Genomic DNA, 24,878 nt, shown 5'->3' with positions numbered 1-24,878 from the left:
GCTCATGGCAGGTGACTCATGGAGGTGACTCATGGCAGCAGGCATAGCTGGGAAGGGGGTTCTTTGGGGCTATGATCCCTACACTGGCCTCTCTTGCAGGACTTAACTGAAAGCCAGAGCTAAGAGTAACCTGTGTCACCACCCACTTGGGGCCAAACCCTGGGCTATTGGAGACATCCACCATGTCATGATGAAATCTACTTATTCAGTAAATAAATAGGTATTTATTTTTATATCTGTCGCAACCAAGCAACTGCCATATTGGGCCCGACACTCAATGGGGATTTTGTGGCAAACAAACCCAAACAGCAAGGCCGTGTCTCATGGTGCTCGCATCCCAGGGGGAGCAGACAGACCACAGACAACAAATCGGTTAGGTCACTCCAGAAAGTGGTCAGTGTCATTGAGAAAATAAACTCAGGTGCGCAGGCGAGAATGATGGGCAGGGGATGATCTTTAGATCACATCACCAGGGACGACTGCCTGGAGGCGGTGACAACACTCAACACCAGAAAAATATTCAAGGGATGAGTCATGGGCAGAGCACTCCAGGGAAGTGGGGAGCAAGTGCAAAGGTTAGAGTCTACCGAGCAAAGGAGAAGGTGAGCAAACAGAGGCGAGAGAGGCCAGATCAAGGAAGGCATCTGGCGTTTATCCTGAAGGAAACAGGAAGCACTGAAAAAGGATGGGATCCAAGTCACCTTTCTAGGTGAGCACCCTGGCTGCTGGGTGGAAAATGGAATGCAAGGGGCGAGGTGCCACTGCAGAGATTCTGCAGGAGGTGACAGCGGCCTGGACCGTGGTGCTGGAGGCAGGGAGGGAGAGAGGCAGGCGGGTCTGCAGTGTGCCTTGGGGGAGAGCCACAGGGCCTTGCCCACACAGGTAAGAGCAAGGGAAGAAGTTATAGCACATTTTAATTTGGACTAGCCATGTTCTAAATGCTTGATAATCATGAGGCTTGTGACTACCTTACAGGACAGTCCAGATAGAAATTTTTAAAAGATTTCCATATTGGGGAGAGGAAGGAAAAAAAAAAAGACCTTAATGATCATAGATTTTCTGAGTGTTAGGAGTATGTATGTGATTTCTTTCCTTCTCTGTTTCCAAAGTATCTATATATAATGAATTCATGCTACTTTTTACACAGCAGCAAAAGCCAATATTTTCAATTTTAGGATAGAAGTAGGGGATTTATGAGATCTGACTGGGTGAACCATGCCTGCCAAGTAGGACTAATCCGCACTCCATGAGAGCTGACCTGCACCCCTGGCACCTGGCACAGTACACACTCCGAGTATGCTGGTTGGTTAGTTGGCTGGCTGGCAGGTGGGTAGGCTGCACAGACAGGAAGAGAGAACAATGGAAGGAAGACAGCATATTGTAGCAGTCAGAAGATTAAACTAAATTCTGACTCTTATTTCCAAATTCCAAGCTATCATTTACTAGCTGTGTGATTTTAAACAACTTACTTAACCATTCTGTGCTTTAATTTCCTCGAGTATAAAATGGCAACAATGATAGTAATTTCCTTATAGGAGTTCATGAGAAGTGAGATTATCTATCTTACAAAACACAGAAACATTTAACACAGTGTCTGCCACACAGCCAATGCTTCCAGATACGTTGGCTGTTGTAAGTATGATGAACAAATCAATGCCCAGCGTGGGGCTGCCCTAGTTCATCAGGCAATAGCATCCAGGGCACTTGTTGGAGCCACATGTACCCTGGATCCCTCCTGGCGCTGCTGTCCCTCCCCATCCTCCTTCTCAAGACTAGAGAGCATCAACCCTTAGTCTTAGCCACGGGGAAGCTAGCCCTCGGGTTTGTGTGTGTTCCCTCTGCTTGGCCCCTCATGCCTATCCCTATGCTGAGAACCAGCTTGCATACCTGCACCACCTCCGGCCTCACGTTGAAAGTGTACAGCCAGTCGCTGAAGCGGGGGTAGCTGTTGAGCTCTGGGGTCCTCTCACCGGGAGCCACGCTCAGCTTGCACTGCCTCTGCTTACAAATGTAACGGACCAGCTTCGCCTGCAGAAAGTCCAAAAAAGAAAAGCCTGTGTTCATCTGCAGCCCAACCATATGGCAGGCCCAAGCACACTACAGAGGAGCTCAGGCAGACACAAGCAATGTGATGAGGGAAGGGGCTGGCTCTCCTCTCTGCTGTTTGCAGGGGAGGGGAAAGGGTGGAGAAGGGTCTGGGAGAACAGGCAGAGGCTGGTGGCCACCCATGAGCCCCCTGCCCTACCCAGGGCGGCTGACACTGCCCACCTCAGGACATGAGCGTCATGGGCAACACTGGTCAGAACAGAGAGCTGGGTTAAATAAAAGGCAGCCTTCCTACCAGCCTGGCCAACATGGCAAAACCCTGTCTCTACCAGAAATACAATAATTAGCCAAGCATGGTGGCGCATGCCTGTAGTCCTAGCTACTTGGGAGGCTAAGGTGGGAGGATCGCTTGAGCCCAGGAGGTCAAGGCTGCAGTGAGCCATCATCACACCACCGTACTCCAGCCCGGGTGACAGAACAAGACCCTGTCTCGGGTAAAAAAGAAGGCTTTCCTGCCAGGGTGGGGTCAGGGAGTTGGTAATTGCTAATATGGAAGACCTGCTGGTTTGGGGAGAATGGGTAACCTCCCACCTAGGATGCTTCCAGCGAAGAATCCAACTGCCTGGGTTGGGATCCAAGGGCTCAGTCACACCCTAGCTCTGTGACCTTGGACAAGTTACTTAACCCCCTATAAAAGTCTCCATCTTGTCAAAGGTCTCCATCTTGTCCTCCAGAAAAATGGGGATAATAGAAGCTGACTCTCAGAGAGACGGAAGAAATGACGCATTTGGCACATGGTGAGCACCACAAGTGTAGCCATGACCACTGAGCAGCAGCAGTATTGGCCAGGGTCCTGGACTCGGATTCCCAGTAGGCTTTCAGGGATCCACACCCTGAAATGTATGCAAATTTCAGATATGCAAGTCTGTGTATTTTCTAGAGTTATTGTCCAAAGCTTTCAAAAGACTCGCAAATGGCTAAAACTTCAAATAAGAAAAGCTTACACAAGGACAGCCTGACTTGGGTAAACCCGACAAACACTGGGCTCTGGCTGGGTGCCCAGCATTGGACTGGGGAACACGGGATACAGAGAAGCACAAGGAGGGCATGGCCCAGTTCTGATGAAAAATAAGGGACTCGCATTCCCAACAGAGGCCAGTTAGGCTCGACAGATGGAAACGAGCTCACTGCCAGAAGACCAGGGAGTTGCCTGGCTTGGCTACGGCCAAGTGACCCAGGGACCCAGGGAGAGCTCCTGAAATGTTGCTAAGACTCTGGTGGCCTCCTAATGGTGACTTCCAAGTGTCCCCCCAAAATAAGTACCACCTTCACAGTCTCTTACAGGAACCTGTCTTCTGGAGACACTTCTCAACCCTGCTGTCCCTCATGGTTGTGGTGTTAATTCATTCCTTTTCCTTTCATCTGTAAATATAGGTTGTGCATTTCGAATCCAAAAACCCAAAATCCGAAACGCTTCCAAAGACCCAGAAGCTGAACCTCTCCAAAATCTAAAACATTTTGAGCACTGACATGATGCTCCAAAGAAATGCTCACTGGAGCATTTTGGATTTTGAACTTTTGGGTTTGGGATGCTTAGCCATTAAGTATAATACAAATATTCCAGAATTCTAAAAAATCCAAAATCCAAAACACTTTGGACCTCAAGCATTTCAAACAAGGGATACTCAGCCTGTATCTCACTATATTTTTCTTTTTTTTTTTTTGAGATGGTCACCAAGGCTGGCAGGCTGGGGTGCAGTGGCACGATCTTGGCTCACTGCAACCTCCGCCTCCTGGGTTTAAGTGATTCTTGTGCCTCAGCTTCCCAAGTAGTTGGAAGTATAGGCGCATGCCACCATAAAGGGCTAATTTTTGTATTTTTAGTAGAGACGGGTTTTCGCCATGTTGGACAGGCTGGTCTCCAACTTCTGACCTCAGATGATCTGCCCACTTCTGCCTCCCAAAGTGTTGGGATTACAGGCATGAGCCAGCACTTTCGGAGGCTAAGGTGGGCAGATCACTTGATCTGAGTATAAAACAAAACACTTAGGACCACTGCACCGGGACCTTAGCACATTTTTCTAAAGAGCAAGGACTCTTGTTAACAGAGTCACAATATTTTACGAAGAAAAAAATGATGAATTAATAATTTTTAATTTCAAATATCTAGAAAGGCTCCAAATTTTCAATTAGAATAAAAGCTTATAACCAGTTTGGGGCCATAGACCCTTTTAGAAATCTAGGGAGGCCCATGATCTCTTTCAAAGAACAATACTTTCATTTATTTCTTTTTTTATCTTTATCTTTTTTTTTTTTTTTTGAGATGGGGTCTCACTATGTTGCCTAGGCTGGTCTTGAACTCCTGGGCTCAAGCAATCCTCCCACCTCAGCCTCTCAAAGTCCTGGGATTACAGGCGTGAGCCATCGCACCTGGACAGAACAATACTTTGAAATGTATAAAACGACACACTTCGAATTATAAAGGAAATCAATTCTATTTAAACACATTTATCAAATTACTGAAAACTGTGATAGACAGCCAGTCATGGTGGCTCACGCCTGTAATCCCAGCACTTTGGGACGCCAAGGCAGGTGGATCACTTAAAATCAGAGGTTCGAGACCAGCCTGGTCAATATGGTGAAATGCTGCCTCTACTAAAAATACAAAAATTAGCCAGGCATGGTGGCACACGCCGGTAATCCCAGCTACTCGGGAGGCTGAGGCAGGAGAATCACTTGAACCCAGGAGGCAGAGGTTGCAGGAAGCCAAGATCATGCCACTGCACCCCAGCCTGCCAGCCTTAGTGATCGTCTCAAATAAAAAGAAAAAAAAGAAAAATATATTGAGATACAGGCTGAGTATCCCTTGTCTGACTGCACTTCAGCCTGGGTGACAGAGCAAGACTCTGTCTCAAAAACAAAACAAAACAAAACAAAAAAAACCTGTGATAGAGTCATAAAAGCTTCTTTATTAAAGTATTAAACATCCAACAGTGCATCTAATAACTGCCATAACTTTAAAGTTGTGACAAGTGGAAACTGCTTTTTCAGATAGCTCCACAACTGTGATTCCTACTGGTGACCGAGTCACAGGTGTTTGTTAAGATAACTGTGCCTCATTGCCTACAATCAAGTGGAATGACATGCTAAATTCCAGTTAAGGTTAATGAAAATAAAAGTGCAATTTTCTTCCCCATCTACGTTCATCGATGGACCCCCTGAATTCTATCCACAGACGCCAGGTCAAGAACTCCTGTGGCTAGAGAGATGTGAGCATGAAATGAGACCCATAATAATGAAACCACTGCTACCACATCAGCGTTTTTGAAATTTCCCCCAGAAAACTAGTTTGGCCCCAGGCTCACCAACAATCTGACAGAGCCAGATTCAACCCCCTTGGGGTTACTTACCCCTCTCCCATGGCCCCTGCTCCCTTCAGGGTACTAGGGGCTCAGTGGCAAGTGCAGACAGCTGCTGGAGAGGGAGCGCTGAGTCAGAATCAAAATAATTCCACACTCTCAACTGTACAGTTTTTATGTCTGATGAAACCACAGACCCAGAGGCTGATCCCCTGACATTCCTGCACCCCATGCCCCTCAGGTGCCCAGAGCAGACCCTGCTAATCAAACACACTGCTGAGGTTCAGGACTCTGAGTCTACTTGCTGTCCTATTATGGAACCTAAGCCCTGGGGAGCACCTACAGAGCATGAAGCTCACAACCGTAGACACACGAGTGAGCTTTTATCCTACAGGTCTAAGAGGATGCACTCATGTGCCCTATCCTGGCTTACCCCACTCTGATCCATCCCGCCCAGTGAGACCAGAGGCAAATTCCAAAACCAGGGCTCCAACTTCCCCCAGCCCCCCAGCTCCGTTCCATAGCCCCTGGCCCTGCCCACCAGGCACGCACTCACCCAGCAGCTATTCCTCCAATACCTGCTGGAGTTTCCTACCCAGGCCAAGTCAGAGTCCGCCTCTCCCCTTCCTGGTGTGTTGTGTGTGACTCTTTCAGAGCCCTGATCATGGAGTTACTATCATACTACAGTTAACAGCTTCTGCCTCAGTCTCCCCCAATAGACACGAGCTCCCAGGCTTCTGAGTTGAACACATCTGGGTTCAAATCCACCATATACTAGGCTGCACTGCCCCAAGGAAGATAATTAATTTTTCTGAGTCTCAGTTCACCCACCTGTAAACAGGAACGATGACACCTAGCTCATATTCAACTACAGCATGGAGACCTCCAAAAGACTAGGTTAGATCTCCCTATAATTACACATCAGTGCAGGGACCGTATTTCCCTCATATCCCCAGTTCCTACTACAGCACCTGGCATAAAACATATGCTCAGGAGTGCCAGAGGAAGAAAATGTGTGGTTCTTATCCCCATGTTTCTCACAGCCAGCCCTTCCCTCCATTCCACGCGGCTCTGAAACCACCACTTCAAAGGGCTGACCAGAGACAGGACTATAAATCAAACAGCTGTGCAAACTCAAAACCACTCTTTTCCACATTAACTGGAGAGGTCAGGCTGCTGGCACTAAAAGCAGCAGCACTAGAGCCCTTCTGTCACTGGCACATGGCCTTCAAGGGTCCTGCCTCTGGGAGTGATTCCTAACATATGCCATTTGCACAAGACTTTCGCCACCACAGGCCAACATTGAGATTAGCCCACCTGGCCTTAGCCTGAGCCAGCGTTTGGGCCTTCCCCAGTCCAGCCTCCCCACAACCTGCCTGCCCTTTTCAGCTTTGAGGCACTCGGTCCCCTGCTAAGCAAGCTCTTCCCAGTGACTCTCCGCCTACAAGGATCAGCTCAGACACCACTTCCTCCAGGAAGCCTTCCTCAAGCCCTCCAGCCCCCTGCCCAGATCACATATCGCAGTTCTGATTTTTCACGCTTGTCTGCTTCCCTCTTCAGGCTGGAAACTCTGGGAGGTGGGGGTCCAGCTGGTGTTCTTGGTCACCAGCAGACCTCAGGAGCCAGCACAGCACCCAGCACATGGGCTGCTTTTTCTCTTTTTTCATAATAGAGATGGGGTCTTGCCATGCTGCCCAGGCTGGTCTCTAACTCCTAGGCTCAAGTGATCCTCTTGTGTTAGCTTCCCAAAGTGCTGGGATTAAAGGCATGAGCCACCACACCTGGCCTGGTTTGCTATTTTAAAACCTTTGTTGAAAGGATGAACACACAAACACAATACATTGTGCCAGACAGGCACACAAAGTTTATCAAATGGCAGCGAAAAACAAACACCAACTGGGCAAGTGATGAGACAGGGGTCTGAACATCTCAAAAGCCAGGACAGCTTCCCTAGAAGAGGAGCAAGCGGTTTCTTTTTTTAAAGGCCGGTAGAGATCCCCGCTAGACAGCCCAAAGCAGGCCCATGGGTAGAACTGTGCAGAACTTGAAGTGATTCTTCTTTGCACCCAGATAACCCATAAACCTGGCTAGCTGTGCCTGAGACAAGGAAAAGGGAAGACATGCAGTGCAGCACGACCCAGCTACTGGCAGGTCTGGTGTCCTGGCAGCTGCTATCTCCCAGAACTTGTTAAGAAACAACCTCTACAGATTTGGGTTCTGCTGATGGAGCAAAACTTCTCTGGTTGACAAAGGATGGAGGTGGCCTACAGGCAGCCACTCCCGTCAGAGTGAAATGAAGCTGCTCTCACTTCTTGGAAAGTTGGTTGCAGTCACAGAAGCGCCAAGGGGCTACTTTCCCAGACAAACCACAGTGGGGCCTGCTAGCCCAGCCCTGGGGGCCTAAAAGGGGACCTTTCATTGGTAGCGTCATTTTCTCTTAACCACAAAACCGCAAGATATAAATTTTCCGGAATAGACAAGCACCTGGGGTTTCAGGGATGGGACCAGCAGCAAGAAGGAAAGAGTCATTACGTCTCTGGCCACAGGGGAGGCCCTGGGCTGGAACCAACATCTCTCACACCCCAATATTCTTTTGCTTCAAGAATGTACTGTGGGCCCACCCCAGCCCTGACCAGAGTCTGACTTACAGAAAGAGAATAGTATCAGGTCAGCCACAAACAGTTGGTGGGTGCTACCGATACTACAGCAGGCGCTCACTAAGTATCTGGGGCCGAAGGAGCTCAGCTCTAGTCCCAGCTCTAACATCTAAAATCAAAGATCTTGGGGAAATCCCCCTTGGCTCAGCTTCAGTCTTACCACCTATAAAAAGAGTATCATTTTATGGAGGTTGAGGCCAAGTGAGTTGCCGTATACAAAGTGCTTGGAACAAGCAAAAAACAAACCACGGGTCCTATCCAGCCATACCTAGGAGTCAGTGTGGCTCCATGAAGGACATCTCTAGCCCTAAAGTCCCTTGACACCACTCCCTTGGGTGAACATAGCCATGGGATCTAACCAGTGAGCCTCACTTTTCCTACCTGTAAAATGGGGTTGATCTACCTCAAAAGGCTGTTGTGAAGGCTTACATGAGAAAAATATGAATGCAAAGTGCTCAGCAAAACGTGTGGAACACAGAAAACACTCTTGCGGCGGCAGCGGACGTGGGTGGTGTTCTTCTCAGGCGAAGCCGACAGGTTCTCTCTTATTACCTCCCTAGGCAATACAGAAGATATGGGTGGGAATCTGCCCGTGTCAGAGATGGGACTAAGGAAGACCCTGAAATCTGGTCTTGACTTCAGGACAATGCTGGAGGAACCCACGCATCAGATATATTTCTTCTAAAGGCGAGACGGCCAAGACCTGTACCCACCCAGCTGACTCCAGGGAACCCAATCCTATCCTCCTTTGAGTGCTCACCTCCAACCTCAGCACCAGAGGATGTGACGGGAATGAAATGACATCGGCTCCACTTGCCCAAAGGAACATCTGCACCCGTAACCTGGCATCCTGATCAGCCTCAGTGTCATCTGCCACCCCAGCTGCTCGGGTATGACTCTGGCACAGGCCTCCCAAATGGAGGCTCCACGAGTATCACTTGGATGGTGGTGAGGCTTGTCAGACATCCCTGGAGAGCACGGGCCTGGTTGAGCAGATACTGTGCCAAGGAGAAGCACGTGCCACTGAGGAAAGAGACTTCTTCAGGTAAAGGACACAGCCCCCAGAACTGCAGGGATCCCCAGGAACATGGAGGCCTCACACCCCTACCCTGCAGGTCCCTTCCTTGTCATCCTTCCTTTACACTGCGCCCCAACCTGCCTCTCCATAGCTGGTGCCCCATAGCATGGGTCCTGGGCCCATCCTCCATGGTGTGTCATGGCTGTCCCAGGCAACCTACCCATGGGCCAGTCTGATTTGGGAGGCTGGGTTCCTCTGTGGCCACAGAACCAACCATCCCTTGGAGGCTGCCACAGTGGAGCTGGAGCAATAGCTGCCTTGCCTCTAAAAGCAAGACCATTTAGCACCAGCTAAAATGGCAGTCTAGACAGAGAGCTCCCACGGGCGGCTTCCACAGGGTGTGTGGACAGGGACAGGCCAGCCATTGTGCTGGACTGGCTGGAAGTGCAGCAGTGACAGGCAGATGAGCCACGCCTCCTGTTTACCACCAGCACCTGTTCTGACTGGTCAGAGGTCATGCCTACCATTAGTTAGTGGTCCCATCTCCTCTGCGAGAAGCTTGGGTTTGGCAGCCAGGAGGCTCTACCCCTCGCACCATCACACATCAGCTGTGTGGCAGGATCTAGATCATATCATCTTAGTCTCCTTCTCTGTAAAGCAGAGAAAATATAATACATGCCCCATAGCACTGCTGAGAATTTGCTGCAGACTCATGTATGCAAAGTGTTTAGTCCAATGTCCAGAACATATAAAGTGCTCACTAAATAGAACTCTGTTAGTGTTACTCCTGCTCAGCCTGCAGAATGACCTCGAAAAGGAGGAGCATGAAGACTTTTGGCAGGTGCCGTTTGGATTATACCCCACCCAGGCTTTTTTGCACCTTTGCAAAAAACACCTCTTTCCAGACGACTGACTTTGCAAACAAAGTCAGCTCCACCCTAAAATTGCAGGGCCTGAGATGGGGAGATCTCTTCTGTGGGCAACTCTCAAACCCATGATCTTGGCTATGTTAGCAGCCAGATGCCAAGGCCTATTATAGGTTGTCACCCTAACCCTGACTTTGGTCGTTGGCTGCCACAGGACCCTCTCAGTGGCCCAGATCTTCATGTCTCAGAAGCAGGGCAGGGGGTTAAATCTGTTGTGACAGATGTCACAGATGTTAACATATAAATGAGTAAATGAATCCAAGGCACAGGCTAACATGGACACCAGTTTCCCATGTATAGTAGCAGGCTCCCTCAGTTACAGAATCATGTCAATACTCATTTGTCAACCTAGTAGTGTTAACAATCTTTTCCTTATGTATGGTACCATATCACTTCCTCTACCTGGATTGTCAGTGAAAATTTCAGAGGCTAGGAATTAGAGTAGATCCCTGATAGCACAAGGGTGACTGATGTCCCAATCTTCACACACAAACCCAAAGCTGGCAATGTCCCTAAAGCACATCATTCCCTCCACAAAATACAATCATGTGTAACTGAAAATACTACAGACCCTTCCAGACTTCTGATGGGATGTACTGTGTATTCAACATTGAGTAAAGAAAAACAAAGCTACATCGGGATGTGGGTGCTGGACAGCACACTGGGCTCACTCACTGGCTCAGGGATGCTCACCTGCATGCCTGCCATCGAGTCCAGCCTCAGCCAAATGACAAGTCACTGCTCATCCTTTGCCGTCACTCACAAATCATGAAACCTCTCATGTGAAACCCACAAGACTTAAAGGTGTACTTCATCATTCCCATCTTACAATGAAGAAACCAAGGCACCAGCCTTTGTAACTTTCTTGAATCCTGTGGTTAAAGAAGGGATTCCAACCTCAATCTAATGCTCTCTATGCACCTCTCAAAATAATGACTCCTGCAACCCACACCCTAAGCTGTCTTGACTGGTACAAGCAGGATGGCAGTGGGCAGGGTCTACCTCTTTTGCGATCCAAAGCCCAAAATCCAGCCACGCCTAGACTGTTCCAGGCAGTGAATCCTGTGAATAAGAGCCACAGGCTTGCCCACACCCTCTAAATGTATCCAGCCACCCAACTGGGCCACCACCTCTGGTCCTGACTTGCAATAACCTACCCTCTGGGCTGTACCCCACCCCTGGCTCTAAGCCAGCATTAAATTCATTAAAACTAGCCATCATGCTGCCTATAACCTGAGGCCATCCCTTTTAAGAAGATCCTAGTATGCTTTACAGAGTGACACGAAGTAACTGGACAGCCACTCCATTCGTCCATCACTTGCCTCTTGTTTTATTTAGTCCTCCTGTGGCAGGTGCAGTTGTGGACCAGCTTCCAGCTCACCAGCACCCACAAGACCCTGACTCCTTTCTCCTCAGTAGGCAGCACCAGACTCTTACGTGGTGCCCACAGCAGTCTTTGCTCCTGCCAAGTCCCTGACTATACCATCCCGAACTTCAGGATGCCACCAAAGCCCTGGCAACTTACTCCAGCCTTCATTCCAGTGGTCCCTGAAGCTGCTGCTCCTCCTCCACTATTGACCCATTCTGTCCATGCCTCGGGGAAGCTCCCCTTACATCTTCCACTTCCTTCCCAAAGCTGGAGTGCATTTCTGGGGACTTCCCACCAACCCAGCCAGCTAAGCAGTCTAGCCTGGCTGCCATGGCCAACTTGTTGCAAAATGATTTCTGAGAATGTAAGGAGGCCTCTGGAGGTTGTGATGCAGCTGACAGTTCCACGCACAGGCACGCAGCGACCATAGCACCCAGCTCCGAGGGGACCAGAGGCAGCCCCTTGGCTCCCAGCACTGCCCAGCCCTCAAGGGCGCCCACGGGGGCTGACATTCATGGGCATGGGACAGAGCAGGAGAGGCACACAGGGAAAGTGGGGCAAGGAGAGGAGAAAGTACAAGTGACCTCAATCCTTGAGCTGGGCATTTCGCAACAGCCAGCCCTCTCCCGGCCCGGCCCATACCCGCACTCTCCTGGGGAAGCTGCCAGGCTTTTACATTTGTGTAGAGACAACCTCCCCGCCAAGCCTCCCACTAGCAATCCTGCCTTGACGTCAAACTCAGAGTCGGGGAACTTCAAACACAAACAAACAAGTCTAACCCAGACCACAAGTGGAGATATTCCCAAGGAGGCCAGGGGTGAGAACGGCCACAGCTGGGAGCTCAGGGCCTCCTACCCTTCCCTATGCTCCACTGGGAATGCAAAGTCTGAGGACCTGACAACAGACTGTAGATGGGAGATTCAACCCCAGGCTGAGACAAAACGAGCTCACTTGTCTAAGAGTATGACTGACTGCCTTTGGCTGGTGCAGCAGTGGGTGCAGGAGACCCTGTATGGAAGCACTGATGAGTTAGCTCCTCTGTGCAACTAAGCACCCACCTTAGATAAATCACATAAATCACCTGTTCCCACTGCTCCAGTACTAAGCATGAGCAGTCAGGGAAAGAAGACTATGAGGTCAACTATGGTTTAAAAGCACCCATGATGCTTCCTGGGAAATGCAAAGCTTGAGCTGGGCCAGAGTGAATGGCCAAGGGCCCGAGTTTTCTCAGCAACAACTGCTAGGCCATTTTATGTGCCACGGAGGTTGTGAGATGCAGCAGAACCAAAGAGGAAGGCATTTCCCTGACCTAACAGCCTAATACAGCTCCCACCTGCAAAGCCAAGGTGAGTCAAAACACTGCTCTTCAGAAAGCAATTATTTGAAAAGTCAGTAAATGATCTGTCTTGATCTGCCTTTCAAGTTTTCCTTCCTGCCTCAATTGATGTAACCCCCCAATATCTCATGTGTTGTTAGTACCAGCAGTCCTTAGGGGCTGTGGGGACCAACAGGACTAAATCATGAGAAAGAAAGACACCCACTTTACCCCCTAACTCCCCTGTGCCTGAAGCAATTGAATAACGGCAACAAAGGACTTCTGACCATCATCCAGTCATTCAACAACCAAACCTCTTCCCAATGCCCGGCACCGTTGGACTCCAAGGACAACGGTCGTAAGCGGCAGGGGTCCATAATTTTCAGGAACCCACACAAGTTGGGGGAACAGATGTGTCCGCACAGACACCTGACCGAGGGCTAGGAAAGGCAAAGCAACAGACAGCAGGTCTAAGCGTCCATGACACAGCAGCCCTGCTGCTCGGTGCTTCTGCTGGGAGGCTGAGGGAAGTGCTGGCCCAGGTGTCAGGAGCCACAGGTGTGGTGTTGCTCACAGACCAGATACTTCATCAACACGGCCTGTGTCCCAGTTCAAACACACACTCCATGTGTTTGTCTGAAGGTCACCAGGCCCACAGGGCACAGCCACGAACTAGTTTACCCCCTCAGCTCAACCCCTCAATCACAACAGGTAATCCTGGAGTATTCCTGACATTGCCAACTGAAAGGCACCTGGGTGTGAATTACCAAGCAGGGGCCTAGTGAAAAAGGCAGAGGCTGCACCTAATGGCAAAAGTAGATTTCTGCCAATGGGCCAAACCCCTTACCTATCCTTAAGGCCTGTTCCCTAGGGAGACTCTGGAAGGGAGGGATGGGGAAGGCAAGGCACCTTAAACTCTGACCTATATGCACCAACTATGAGAAGGAGACTGTGCCCAATGCTGGAAAGATAGAGGGCTTTCTTTCCAGGGATGTGACTGTTGGCTTAGCAACTCAGGCCATCACAGAAAAGGACAAAGGGCTGGACAGGGGCAAGGGGCAATGACAGATGAGTGCCCCAGACACCAGGGATCAATGAATGCATTGTGAACTCCCCCAGAAGGATGAGGGGCGCCCGAACCGCCACACCCTGTGGAGCACCATGCTCAGACTGCTCATCTCCACCTAATATCAGCTCCCAGCTTCTCCCTTGCCCACAGGACCCAGTTTTGTTCAGGGTAGCACTGTGCCCAGTGATGAACTGGTCTCAGTCAGTGGCTCGCAGCCCAGTCTTCACATCACAACCCACGAGCCTTGGCTTCAGCGAGTGTGACATAATTGATCCGGAATGGGGTCCCTGCACAGCCATCATGATGATTCAGTCCCCACTTTCAGCTTCCCTTGAAGCTGGTTACCTGTGACAGTTTTGGCTAATGAGGCATGAGGACTTGCTTGCTAGGGGACCTGCTGGGAAAGCATGGGACAGATCTTGGGGCTGCCCAACACCTCCTGCCCATTTTGAAAACAGACAAGCTGCAGTGGCCATCTCGCAACCACAAGGATGGCAAGAGCTGCCTGGAAAACCAGAGACAGTATCCCTGTTCAGCTGCAAAACCAGCACACGTGTGCCACCTAACTCCAGACTCATTGTAGGAGAAACATAATGGCCTATTCCAGTCACATTTTCTGTTACTTGCAACCAAAAGTAGTTCTATTAAGTCCGCAGTATTCCAAACCTCCTTCTACCGCTAATGTTTCTAAGGCTGAGGCTTCCTGCTGGCTTCCAGAAAACCTACAACAGCAAAAAGAAGGTATCCCTCATTCTTCTTTGAGCCACATGCCATCCAAAAGCATTCTTCCAAAAGTCCTTAAATCTCGAAGAGCAGCTAATTTTTATGAAGTCCAACTTAACAATCTTTTTGTCTGTTTGTTTGTGCTTTTTATTTCCTATCTAGGAGATATTTGTCAAGCCCATATTCACAAACATATTCTCCTGGGTTCTAGAAGTTTTATTGTTGTATCTTTTTTATTTAGGTTTTTGATGCACGTTGAGTTATTTTTTGTATTCCAGGACTGTTTTAACCACAACTGGATATATTCTTTTTAACTGGGCATTCCTAGGTACTAGGCATCATGCTATACATTCTATATTATCTCACCTAATACCTACATGAATCCCGATAGGTATTTTTATTTTATTGTTTGTTTATTTATTTGAGATGGAGTTTCGTTCTTGTTGCCCAGGCTGGGGTGCAGTGGCCTGATCTCGGCTCATTGCAACCTCCGCCTCCCGGGTTCAAGCGATCTCCCACCTCAGCCTCCCAAGTAGCTGCGATTACAGGTGCCCGCCACCACGCTCAGCTAAATTTTATATTTTTAGTAGAGATGGGGTTTCACCATGTTGGCCAGGCTGGTCTCAAACTCCTGACCTCAGGCGATCTGCCGCCTCGGCCTCCCAAAGTGCTGGGATTACAGGTGTGAGCCACTGCGTCCAGCCAGGTACTATTATTAATCTCATTTTACAGCTGAGGAAACTGAGGCTGAGAGAGTTACATATCCTTGAAAAAGGACCCTAGCATACTGTAAACCACATGCAGTACCTTAGAGTACCTTCGAGTCTATTATATAAGACCTGGAATACAGACAAACATTTGCCACGAGCTGGAGATATGGAATCCTTGTTCTACCCTGATTCAGTTGATGCTGAGTGTTTGGGAATACAACCCCCAGCTGCACCACTGCACTTAGGAAGATACATGATGACTCAGTTTCCCAGAGTGCACAAGGTAAGGGTGGGGGTAAAGCAGGCTATGTAGGATCTTGCATTTGCTAGAGAAAAAGAATAGGTGGGGGAGCCCCCGCTCCTGGCAGTGGGTGGTGAGGGTTCTTCTTCCCCATTGGGTAGTCACAGGATCATCTGAGTCTACCATACGAGTGTAGACAACCACAGCAGATTGAAGACGGCCACAAAGTATATGACACTCCTCCAATCTAGAGGTCTATTTCCTCTCCCCTTGAACCTGGGTTGGTCTGTGGCTACTTTGTCCAACAGAGTATAGAGTCTCCTAGAGTCCTGACTACTGTGATGAAGAGACCATAATGAGTGGCCCTGGGCCTGCCCCTGATGGAATGGTCCCCACCCAGGGTCAGGTGCATGAGCAGGGCCTTCTTAGACCCTCCAGATCAATGGCCGGTGCCACTTTTTTTTTGTTTCAGTCAGGGACCAGGACCAGTTCATGCAGGTCCTACAAAGTTCCAGAAGGTCCTGGAATGCCACACTCAGGCATCTGCACTCAATCTTGCAGGCATGGGGCGGGAAGCGAAGGGAAAAACGTGATCAGATTTGCATTTCTGAACGATCCTCATTCTGGAAACCATAAGGAGGACAGACTGAAGTGCGTGTGGATAAACCAAAGACAGGAAAATCATTTAAGAAGCACTGCAATTCAGCAAACGATGAGAACAAAAGGTAATTTAGTTAGTGGCAGTGTGGGTGTAAAGGAAGGAGAAGATTCTAGAGCTGTTTTATTAGTGTTTTTACTATAAAGACATGACTTCCCTTCTTGCTTGTCCAGGGAATTTCTGGCATACCGGCATACTTTAGCAGGAAGGTGAAGCACTGAGTTTCTCCAGCAAATGAGCCACCCAAGCAGAGCCCTGTTTGTTGTTCAATTTACTAGGACTTGGTGCTTCTCGGGGAGGGGCCCTTCGGCTGGAGATTCCACCCTCAAAGGGCACTCAGCCCACAGGCAGCCCCAGCCCAGCCGTCTCTCACTTCAGCGCTGTGCCTGCCCTGTCTCCCAGACAGAGGGGAACCCTATGCTTGCCAACAGCACAAGCCGCTGCTCCAACAGTACCATCTCCAACTCTTCCCCACACCCGTGGAGGTGGGTCAGACAGAAAGCAATGGGAGAGAGGCAGTGTCTGCCATCATGGCCAGACCCCACAGGGCCCTCTCACATTGCTGTGCGCCACAGAAAGAATGGACAGTCATGTCACTAGGGGTAATTCTGGTCTCATTTGAAACTCAGCCCTGACTCCTACCAGCTAAGGGCCCATGGGCAATTAAATGTCTGAGCCTTCACTTCCTCTGCCATAAATGAGGGGCAAAGATCAGCCTCAAAAGATCACTGTGAAGACAAAACAATATGACACAGCTGCTGGCTGACTGCGAGCTCCCAGCAAAGATTCCTTCCCATCTTCCTTCGCTGCAATCTTAATCTTAACATCAAAGCTGTGCCTTTGGCAGCTGATAGGAAAACCAGGACGGGTGACTGGGGAAGAGTGCAGAAGGAAAGCGTCCAGATGAAGGATCACGATTGTTGATCTGTTAATGTGTCTGCAAGCTTCCCGTGGAACAAGGAGAGCAACCGGCTGTGAAATGAAGCTCTATGCATTAGGGCAGATCAGCATCCACACCCTTTTAACAATTCACTTGTACCAGAGGCCCAAGGAACACCTCTGGCACCAAACCACCATGCTGAGTTTCAAATGAGACCAGAATTACTCCTAGTGACATGACTGTGCATTCTTTCTGTGGCGCACACCAATGTGATGATTGTGTATCTTATGGATACTTGGTCGCAGCACCTCACACTCAGTCACAGCACTACAGAGTTTACGGAGCGCTCTGGCAAGACAGCACCTCATCTGATCCTCACTGCAAACCAAGGCTCAGGGGTAAAGGCACATGGCCAAGGCTACACACCATCCTATGTTGTGGCGCCAGCTTCACAACCACTGCCCACCCCAACTCCCACCCAGGAAAGCATGATTTTAAATTCATAGATTAAAACCAAGCACCCCTGAAACACTGAGTCCCACCCAGGGTCACTCCCAGCTGTGACCCCAGGGACTTCTCAGATGCCTCTCAGGGAAGAAAGCCCTGACAAGGACATCCACACGCTTTTCCTAAGCGATCTGAGAAGGTCACTGATTAGCCACAGCCATCTCCACTAAATAATCTTCAAAGCTCTTTTCCTGAGGGACCATTTTGTCTGGTCAGAGGAAGGAGATATGGGATGTAGGGGACATAAAAATCAGACCTGAAACCCAGGAATAATATTGCAGCAGGGTTTAGGTGACATCAGCTCTGGGAGGGAGAAAGAAGGCAAGACCACCTTCTCTAACAAGCAATGGCTAAAGACAACGCAGTTATCCCCCTAGGCCCTGTGCACCTCAGGCAACACAGCTGTAACTGGACTCACATTACTAGCACTATCATTAGCGGGGGATGAGAAAGGGCTCAGGCAACAGGATGCCGCTGCTGTATAATCCCAGGAATGCCAGCCAGGGGCAGTATAGTGATGGATAGTCAGGTGCTGGGGCCTAGAGGCCAACAGACCCGGGTTCAAATCCCAGCTCGGCCACTGACTAGCTGCTTTAACTCAGATTACTTAACCACCCTCTGCCTCAGTTTCCTTATCTGCAAAATGGGGGAAGAGGGGGATGTCTATTGCTGAAGACATCAGGCCTGCTATAATAGATTAACACTCATTGTCAGCCATCTCTATCATGAAAATTCCAGTCTCTTGTACTCTTTGAAAGCAGTTAGTCTGACTTGTTTATTGCTTTAAGATTCTTAAACACATTCCTGGATGACTCCATCTACATGGCATGTCCCAAGCTACCCTGGTGTATTCCTTGAAAATGGGCAAACGTAGACAAGGCCAGGCGTGGCTGGAACACACTCACACTGAAAGGATGGCTTTCCTGGCCCTTACTTTATTCTCAGGTCAAGAGCTGGGCACACCCGAGCCAAACTGTGCAACACGAACCTCTGAGCACAGTCTGTGCAGAAGAGGGAGGCAAACCAGGATGGGTAACAAGATGCACACAGCCTGAAGAAGCAAGCCGAGGAGAGGCCTGGCCCCCAGGCTGCAAGGGGAGCTACTCTCCAGACCTGGATAGTGGTGACATGGCTGAAAAAGACACACACACACGTGCGCACACGCACCTGTCACCTTGGACAAGCTCTAGCTGAACAGGGTGGGGATGCATCTCAAAATAAAGAGAGGCGGTATGCTGCCAAGCTCTCAAGAAATCAACTGACCACCCTTATTGAAGAAATTAGACAATGACAGCTAACTCCAACAAGGGTGACTATTATGCGCTAGACACTGCTTTAAGTGCTTTATGCGTACAGACAGCCCTTAGGATCTGTGGGTTCTGCATCCATAGATTCAACGGCAGATCAGAAATCTTTTTAAAAAAATGAATGGTTGCGGCTGGGTGCGGGGGCTCACACCTGTAATCCCAACACTTTGGGAGGCCGAGGCGGGCAGACCACAAGGTCAAGAGATCGAGACCATTCTGGCCAACATGGTGAAACCCTGTCTCTACTAAAAATACAACAATTAGCTGGGCATGGTGGTGTGCATCTGTAGTCCCAGCTACTCGGGAGGCTGAGGCAGGAGAATTGCATGAACCCGGGAGGCAGAGGTTGCAGTGAGCCAAGATTATGCCACTGCACTCCAGCCTGGTGACAGAGTGATACTCCATCTTAAAAAAAAAAAAAAGAATGGTTGCATCTGCATCTGTACTAAGGGGGCTTGAGAATCTGTGGATTTTGGTATCCTCAGGGGTTCCTGGGACCACTCCCCCATGGATACCAAGGGACAACTGAATTAACTCACTTAATCCTTGCAACAAACCTGTGAGAGACGCCCTATCACAACTATCCCCATTGTACAGAGGCGTAAACTGAGGATGAGGAACAGTCCCATGTCATGCGGCTAGTAAGTGGCAGAGCAAGAAACTGAACCCAGGAAGTTCAGCTGCTCAGCCCATGCTCTTAACCATGGGCTACATTACTTCCTTAAATGACTGAGACTTTTGGGGTGCCTACTGTCCATCAGGCCAATGCTGGGCATCTTGGTACAAATGTTCTCATTTATAAAAAAGGACTCAGAGGGTCAGGAAGCCAACCCAACGTCACCCAGCTGGTATGTGTCAGAGCCAACTTAAACTCATAAGAGGCTGATGCCCCACGCTGCCCCTCCAGGCTTGAGGCGCTGGGTCTGACCTTCCACAGTTTGAAGGCTGACCTTTCCCACTGTGCTCCACCAGCAGTGATGCAGATGGAGACATCACTGACCCAGAGCACACGAATACTGGTGAGGAGCCCCAGGGATGCTCTGCCACCTGATCAGAAGGAGGCCAGAACCTTCCAGAAAGCCTGTTGGAAAAGCAGCGCCTGGGAGAGAGTCCACCAGCTCCAACCTCTTTCCTAGCACAGTCCTCTCCTCCACAGCTGCCTGTAAGCCACATCCTACCCCGTCCCACCCGCTGACAAAGAACCAGAGCGAGGGCCTCCTGCTAGTTCTCCAGTTGCAAGGGCTCTCTGTGTTTAGCTTTCTGATGTAACAGCTCGAAGCGGAGATGCACGCACTCACTGTTGCATAAGACCCGATTTCGCTCACACAAACCTCAGGGCAAGTCAGTCTCAAGTGCTGCGGGCTGGAGCACAGGGTGGCCTCACAGAGCAGCCCGTACCTGAAAGTGCTCTGCCGCGCAGGACAACACATTCCCAAGGAGGCCAGTTCTCCCACGGCCTGTTCCCAGGTGACCCAGCTACCATAACCCTCCAGGTGGAGGATAGCTCACCCGCACTGAGAAAAACCGGGCAAACCCCACAGGGCTCTGCATCTCCTGCCCTCTGACCTTTGCAATTGGCCCCATCTAAGGACCACGTCAACCAGTGAGGATTATTAGCAGGACCAGACCCATCTTCAGATGTCTGAAATGCCTTTAAATTACAAAATCCTTGGATGTTCTAAGACAAGAAGGGCCTAAGGTCATCTCACAGAAATAGATGAAAAACTGATGAGGAAACTGAGGCCCAGAGAGGGACAACGACTTAGTCAAACTCACACAAAGTAGAAGGCAGTGCCAGGACGGTCTCCTGGTTCTGTCCAGCACTCTTTCCCCCATACTGGATGGCAGAAGTCCTGGGTTCAACCTGCTGTGAGCGAGTGGTCTAGCTGGTAACGCTGGTTCCCTATTTTTATTTAACAAACAGGGACTGTTTTGAGAAGTGTATAAAATGCTAACTCATTTCATCTGGGGAGGTGGGTGTTATTACTATCCCCAAGTGGAGATGAAAGAGAGATAAAGTAACTGTCCAGGGTGGGAGGTGAACCTAGGCAATGTTACTCCACCATCCAAACCTGAGCCTTGAGTGCCACAGTGGCCTTTGTCACTGCAGCTCCTCAGGGCGCTGCTGGCTATATGCTGAAGTGCTCTCTGGAGCTCAACAGCATGCCCCAAGCAGCTGCTCAGAGGAGCAGGGCTGAAGCCACCTCCAGCACAGCACACATCTCAGCAGCCCCACAGGAGGGGTTCTCCCCCAAGCACTCGCCCACAGAACACAGGGGCCAGATCTTCCATGACGGATCCGAGTGTGGGACCAGGCAGAAAATGGACTCAGGTATTCACTACACCCCCTCCAGAGACCTGCAACATGTGACCAGGGCCACCCCCTCAGCTTACTGTCAGGGGAAAAGGTTTGCCAGGCAGCCCCTTCAAAGGCGTGGCCTCCCCGTCACCTGCACCTTCTGTAACCCTGGGCCTGTGAGGCAGAAGGGGGCCGCCCTGCAGTGCCAAGGCCATGACCCAGCAGGCAGGACTCTGCACCTTTGTGCACAGCCTCCTCGAGGTTCAACATCTTGAGCTTTCTTCCTGAAAAAGGAAGCTGTTTCTCAACATATTGCTACACATGGAGACTGAGAAACACAAACCGAGAGGCGAATAGGGCACTGGCCCCAAGGGAGGAGAATGAAGCGGGGAAGGGCTGGTATGGGCCAGTCTGCCTGAGGTAACCAGCCAAAGGGACAAGGAAACGCCCAGCACAAACTTGTCCATCCCGACATTGTTTACAAGAGGGACACAGTGCAAACAACCCAAAGCCCCAACAATGGAAGCACAGCTAAGGAGGTGATGGTAAAACCACTTACTAAACTATGACAGAGCCACTGAGCAGGTTTACAAAAACATAGGAAGTTTTTTGTGTTATTTTACTAAGCGACAGGCAGGACAAAAAAATCTACATGATGGATGGCAAGAACTACGTAAGCAAAACCTCGCACACAAAGTCTTTGCCTGGAAAACACAACTGAAAGAAAACACAGCAGAAATGTCATCTGTGAATGGGCTGATCTGAGTGGGAAGGCTATAGGTAATTATTTTCTTCCTTCTACTTTTCTGTGTTTTCCAAATGTTCTCTAATTACTGCGTACTGATTTTATAAGGCTATGAATGGGAATAATACATTTTAAAATGTCACAAGAGGAAAAGGGAGGGTGCTGGTGCTTCTCTTCTAGCAAAGGGAGAAAGGTCCAGGAGCCCACGGTAGACGTACTATTTGGAGCCGATCCCTGCTCAGGCCGCCATGCCCAGCCTCACCACTAAGGTCGGCTTTGCTGGTTACTCCATCTGCCCTGCTGGGTCTTTTTTTTTTCTTTTGAGACAGGGTCTCACTCTGTTGCTTAGGCTGGAGTGCGGTGGTGTAATCACGGCTCAGTGTAGCCTCGACCTCCCAGGCTCAAACGATCCTCCCACCGCAGCCTCCTGAGTACCCGGGACCACTGCCACACACAACTACACCCAACTAATTTTTGTATTTTTTGTACAGACAGGGTTTCACCATGTTGCCCAGGCTGGTCTCAAACTCCTGGGCTCCAGCGATCCACCCACATCAGCCACCCAAAGTGCTGGGACTGCGCCCAGCCCCTGCTGGGTCTTTAGATGGAGCAAAACCTCACTGATTCCAAAGGCAAAGATGCGGAAAGGAAGAGAGCAATTTCATAAGGTGGCATTAAACTCATTTTGCTGACGGGTGTGGGATGGGTTGGTTGGTTTGTTAAGAACAGTGTGTGTCCATCTATCCATCCATTCAAGAGTATCGAGTACCCACTAGTTACCCAGTATGGTGCCAAGGCCCTGCAAACAACACAGAAATGAATGACCCATCTCCTACCCTAAAGACCTCAGATTCAAGTGGGGGCCAAAGATATCAAGTTGCAATGCAAAAGTGTCTTTGACAAGGGTTTTCAGATACACACAGGCTGTGAGAATTCAGATATGAAAATTAAAGCTTCCAGCTTCAGAGAAAAGACGGGTGTCGGGAAAGAGTTCATGGAAAAGATGAGCTTTGAATTGGGTCTTGAAGAATGACTGGGGTTGCACAAACAAGTCAGTTAAACAGGCCAAGGAAATATACATGTTTATCTCAAAGGAAAGTTACCTCTGCCGGCAACCATAACAAACCTCCCACCTTAATAATAAGCAAGGAAATACAAAATGGAAACATATGGGCAGATGTTTGGCAACATTGGCAGAGGGACTCCCCAGTGTGGCTGTGGCAGGAGCATGGCAGGAGCGTGGAGCGGCATCGCCCCCCTGGAGGGCAGCAGAGAAACAGGATGATGCAACAGAAGCCTCACCAGGTGGCCCTCACCCCTTGAGCCAGACTCCACTTCTAGGAATTTATCCTAAAGAAACAATTAAGTGTAAGCATAAGCCTATTCACGGAAGTGTAACTTAAAATAGCCAAACATGGGGAAGTAGGTAACTACATTCTGGTGTGTCAATCACAGAACACTATGAGGCAACTTTTTTTTTTTAAGTCCCTTTTAACAGTGTACTTAATCATATGAGGCAATGCCCATAATCTTCTAGAAAGTTAACAACTCAAGGTAAGAAAACTACATTTGCAGTATGATCTTCACATATCTTTTTTATTTTAATTTAAGGCATTAATTTTCTTTTTTCAACTTTGAGGTCAATTTCTATTTTTATAGCAAAATTAACATCTCAAAATGTAAACACTGGAAAGTTTTATTATTTACTTTTTTGTATTTTTAAAGAACGGGTGTCATTTTTATAATCATAAAATGTTATCCAAACTGAAAGAATAATAAATGGAGTTTTTTTATCCAATAGGTTTTTGGGGAACAGGTGGTGTAAGTTTTGTTTTGGGATTTTTGTGGTTTTTTTTTCCAGTAGAGACAGGGTCTCTCTTGTCACCCAGGGTGAAGTGCAGTGGCATGACCGTAGCTCACTGCAACCTCACACTCCCAGGCTCAAGCAATCCTCCCACCTCAGCCTCCTGAGTAGCTGGGGTTACAGGTGAACACCACTATACCCAGCTAACTTTTTTTATTTTAATTTTTGTAGAGGCAGAGTCTCACCATCTTGCCCAGGCTGGTCTCAAGCTCCTGGGCTCAAGAGATCCTCCTTTCTCAGCCTCCCAAAGCACTGGGATTACAGACGTGAGCCACTATGCCTGGCCCAGAAATGGAGTTTCAATAGGAAGAGAAGAGGACATCCTCAGCTTAAAAAAACAGCAGGAGCCAGAAGTGAAGAAGTACAGGTCTCTCCTGGGAAGGAGAAAGAACTGAACATCATGATTAGACAGAGCTGGGCTCACATACTGGATCCACTCTTTTCTAGCGGTGTGACCTTTAACAAATTACTGATCCATTCCTGAGCTTCAGTTTCTTCCAAAGACCAAATGTGTTAAAGACTAAACGTGTTAACTTGGCCAGGCACAGTGGTTCACACCCGTAATCCCAGCACTTTGGGAGGTTGAGGTGGGCAGATCACCTGAGGTCAGGAGTTTGAGACCAGCCTGGCCAACATGGTGACACCCTCTCTCTACTAAAAATACAAAAATTAGCCAGGCATGGTGGCACGCACCTGTAATCCCAGCTACTCAGGAGGCTAAGGAACAAGAATTGCTTGAACCCCAGTAGGCAGAGGTCGCAGTGAGCCGTGATGGCACCACTGCACTCCAGCCTCGGCAACAGAGTGAGACTTCATCTCAAAAATAATAAAAAACAAAATAAATGCATTAACTTACACAGAATACCTACTCGATACACTAATTAGGTCATAGCCTTTTCTACTGACCAATAAAACAAATTCCATCCTGGATGACCCACAAGAGGTAGGGATGTTCATTTATGAGACACATAATCAATGTAATAACAGCATTTGGGGAGAGCAAAGAATTACTACATTAAAGACATCGTACAAAGCCTCCCAATTTCAGAAATATTAAACTATGAAATATATCCTAAAATCAAGAAACTATGAAAATTTGTGTCTTCTAAAGATACTGCTGACCAGGATAAAACATTTGGTGAAAGCCCAAGATATTATTGTTTTTCTCATGATTCTTATACAGTC

General features: G+C 49.0%; 1 protein-coding gene and 1 long non-coding RNA gene across 18 annotated transcripts in view, besides 6 other annotated features; one reads left to right on the top strand and one right to left on the bottom strand.

Annotated features, from left to right (window-relative positions):
- The window catches only part of KSR1 (kinase suppressor of ras 1), a 169,988-nt gene that overhangs the window by 73,840 nt on the left and 71,270 nt on the right, over nucleotides 1-24,878 (bottom strand). For all 17 annotated transcript variants that reach the window (XR_934587.4, XR_007065523.1, XM_047436989.1 and 14 more), the window contains one exon: nucleotides 1,888-2,028. Coding sequence is in view for 11 of the 17 variants with exons in the window: in XM_047436985.1 (XP_047292941.1) it covers nucleotides 1,888-2,028 (141 nt within the window). In the remaining 6 variants the exon portion in view is untranslated. The remainder of the gene's footprint in view (nucleotides 1-1,887; nucleotides 2,029-24,878) is intronic.
- LOC124903960 (uncharacterized) lies at nucleotides 509-12,797 on the top strand. Its single transcript, XR_007065680.1, has 2 exons — nucleotides 509-709; nucleotides 8,623-12,797. It is a non-coding gene; the product is annotated as an uncharacterized LOC124903960 (long non-coding RNA).
- Nucleotides 8,056-8,115: a silencer, noted in NCBI's record as "silent region_8329". NCBI's record gives its function as "represses an Ori minimal core promoter by ATAC-STARR-seq in GM12878 lymphoblastoid cells {active_cell/tissue: GM12878}" and the evidence as "EXISTENCE:reporter gene assay evidence [ECO:0000049][PMID:35858748]".
- Nucleotides 8,789-9,289: an enhancer, noted in NCBI's record as "H3K4me1 hESC enhancer chr17:25870333-25870833 (GRCh37/hg19 assembly coordinates)". NCBI's record gives its function as "activates a minimal SCP1, AML or CMV promoter by ChIP-STARR-seq in primed H9 embryonic stem cells {active_cell/tissue: H9 hESC(primed)}" and the evidence as "EXISTENCE:reporter gene assay evidence [ECO:0000049][PMID:30033119]".
- Nucleotides 9,290-9,790: an enhancer, noted in NCBI's record as "H3K4me1 hESC enhancer chr17:25869832-25870332 (GRCh37/hg19 assembly coordinates)". NCBI's record gives its function as "activates a minimal SCP1, AML or CMV promoter by ChIP-STARR-seq in primed H9 embryonic stem cells {active_cell/tissue: H9 hESC(primed)}" and the evidence as "EXISTENCE:reporter gene assay evidence [ECO:0000049][PMID:30033119]".
- Nucleotides 11,600-12,399: an enhancer, noted in NCBI's record as "H3K4me1 hESC enhancer chr17:25867223-25868022 (GRCh37/hg19 assembly coordinates)". NCBI's record gives its function as "activates a minimal SCP1, AML or CMV promoter by ChIP-STARR-seq in primed H9 embryonic stem cells {active_cell/tissue: H9 hESC(primed)}" and the evidence as "EXISTENCE:reporter gene assay evidence [ECO:0000049][PMID:30033119]".
- Nucleotides 13,571-14,412: an enhancer, noted in NCBI's record as "H3K4me1 hESC enhancer chr17:25865210-25866051 (GRCh37/hg19 assembly coordinates)". NCBI's record gives its function as "activates a minimal SCP1, AML or CMV promoter by ChIP-STARR-seq in naive H9 embryonic stem cells {active_cell/tissue: H9 hESC(naive)}" and the evidence as "EXISTENCE:reporter gene assay evidence [ECO:0000049][PMID:30033119]".
- Nucleotides 19,520-19,705: a silencer, noted in NCBI's record as "fragment chr17:25859917-25860102 (GRCh37/hg19 assembly coordinates)". NCBI's record gives its function as "represses an EF-1alpha promoter that drives an FKBP-Casp9 reporter gene in an ReSE screen in phorbol 12-myristate 13-acetate-treated (for megakaryocytic differentiation) K562 erythroleukemia cells {active_cell/tissue: K562(+PMA)}" and the evidence as "EXISTENCE:reporter gene assay evidence [ECO:0000049][PMID:32094911]".

Source organism: Homo sapiens, chromosome 17, assembly GCF_000001405.40.
Source record: "Homo sapiens chromosome 17, GRCh38.p14 Primary Assembly".
Classification (NCBI taxonomy): Eukaryota; Metazoa; Chordata; class Mammalia; order Primates; family Hominidae; genus Homo; species Homo sapiens.
This window is presented reverse-complemented; position numbering and strand designations above follow the sequence as displayed.